Below are 1,180 nucleotides of genomic sequence, written 5' to 3'. Positions count from 1 at the left end.
ACCACCATTCATTCATTTTCCCCATCCTGCCCTTCTTTCATTTATCCTGCAAAACAGTCCATGAATGAATCAACTGGCAACATTAGGAAGCCATGCAATGCAACAAATGATGTCATAATATTAATAGCTACAATTTATTAAATATTAAATGCACAATCAACAACAGGTGCTTCACCTGTACTTTTTTTTTTTTTAACATTCTCATGGCAACCTTGCAAGACAGATACTATCCCTATTAGTTGGATGAGAAAGTCAAGACTCAGAATAAGTTAAGTGATCTGCTAAGGTGTCCCAACTGATAGGAGGTGGAGCTGGGGTTCAAAACAATGTCTGCTGGATTGTAAACCCAATGCTTTCAACACGACACTTTTCTGCTTCCTTACATTACCTGCATTAAAAAATTCTGTACTGCCCAATTCCTGCCAGAAACAAAAGGACAGCCATGCCATATTACCAAACTAAGAGTTGCAAGGGGCCTGCCAGCCTCCTTCTTAGTTGTCAGTTATTTCTGACTACTAAGAACTAATACTTTGGTTATGTGCTTAAAAAATAGGCTTTCCCAGCCAGGCGGGTGGGTTGGCTAGATAGGATTAAGGCACAGGGACTCTTTACCAAGCAAGGTGCTCCTTCCTGTCAGAACACATTTCTGTAGAGCCCTGCAGTCTGCAAGCTGGTAGCACCTCCTCCTGCTTCTGCCTCCTAGTGGGCTGTCTGAGGGAGGCTATACATATGTATTAAGTTATTAAGCGGTGGTATGGGTTCTCACAAGTTCAAACACAAAGCATGCTGTGTCCCTGCTCGAGCATCTCCAGGAGGGCCTGGATTAATAGAAATGCAAATGGAGCATCTGCACAAGGCCATATGATTAGAGCCTCTCCCTCACACCTCAAAGTCAAGAGCAGAAAAACACTGCATGTGAAATACAACAAAAAATGGTGATATAATATGCAAAGTCTGTTACCCATTTCAACAGCAGTCAACAAAACATTTCTACTCACACCACTCAGAACAATTCTGCCCCAACTTTATTATGTAAGCTAATGTCTTTCCTCAGGATAAAATTGCTGTTGGCTCGTTAGAGTCCCTATTGACTGCTTTATTGCTTAAGACTCTCTGCACACCACTGTTGGGCCCACTCGAGAAATTTGCTGTTAAAAGAAGCAGGGTTTTAATTTTTTAC

At 41.7% G+C, this 1,180-nt stretch overlaps 1 annotated feature.

Annotated features, from left to right (window-relative positions):
* Positions 456-958: an enhancer, noted in NCBI's record as "OCT4-NANOG hESC enhancer chr1:91027459-91027961 (GRCh37/hg19 assembly coordinates)". NCBI's record gives its function as "activates a minimal SCP1, AML or CMV promoter by ChIP-STARR-seq in naive and primed H9 embryonic stem cells {active_cell/tissue: H9 hESC(naive and primed)}" and the evidence as "EXISTENCE:reporter gene assay evidence [ECO:0000049][PMID:30033119]".

Source organism: Homo sapiens, chromosome 1 (genome assembly GCF_000001405.40).
Source record: "Homo sapiens chromosome 1, GRCh38.p14 Primary Assembly".
Classification (NCBI taxonomy): Eukaryota; Metazoa; Chordata; class Mammalia; order Primates; family Hominidae; genus Homo; species Homo sapiens.
The sequence above is the reverse complement of the archived record's forward strand: the minus strand, read 5'-3'. Positions and strand labels throughout refer to the sequence as shown.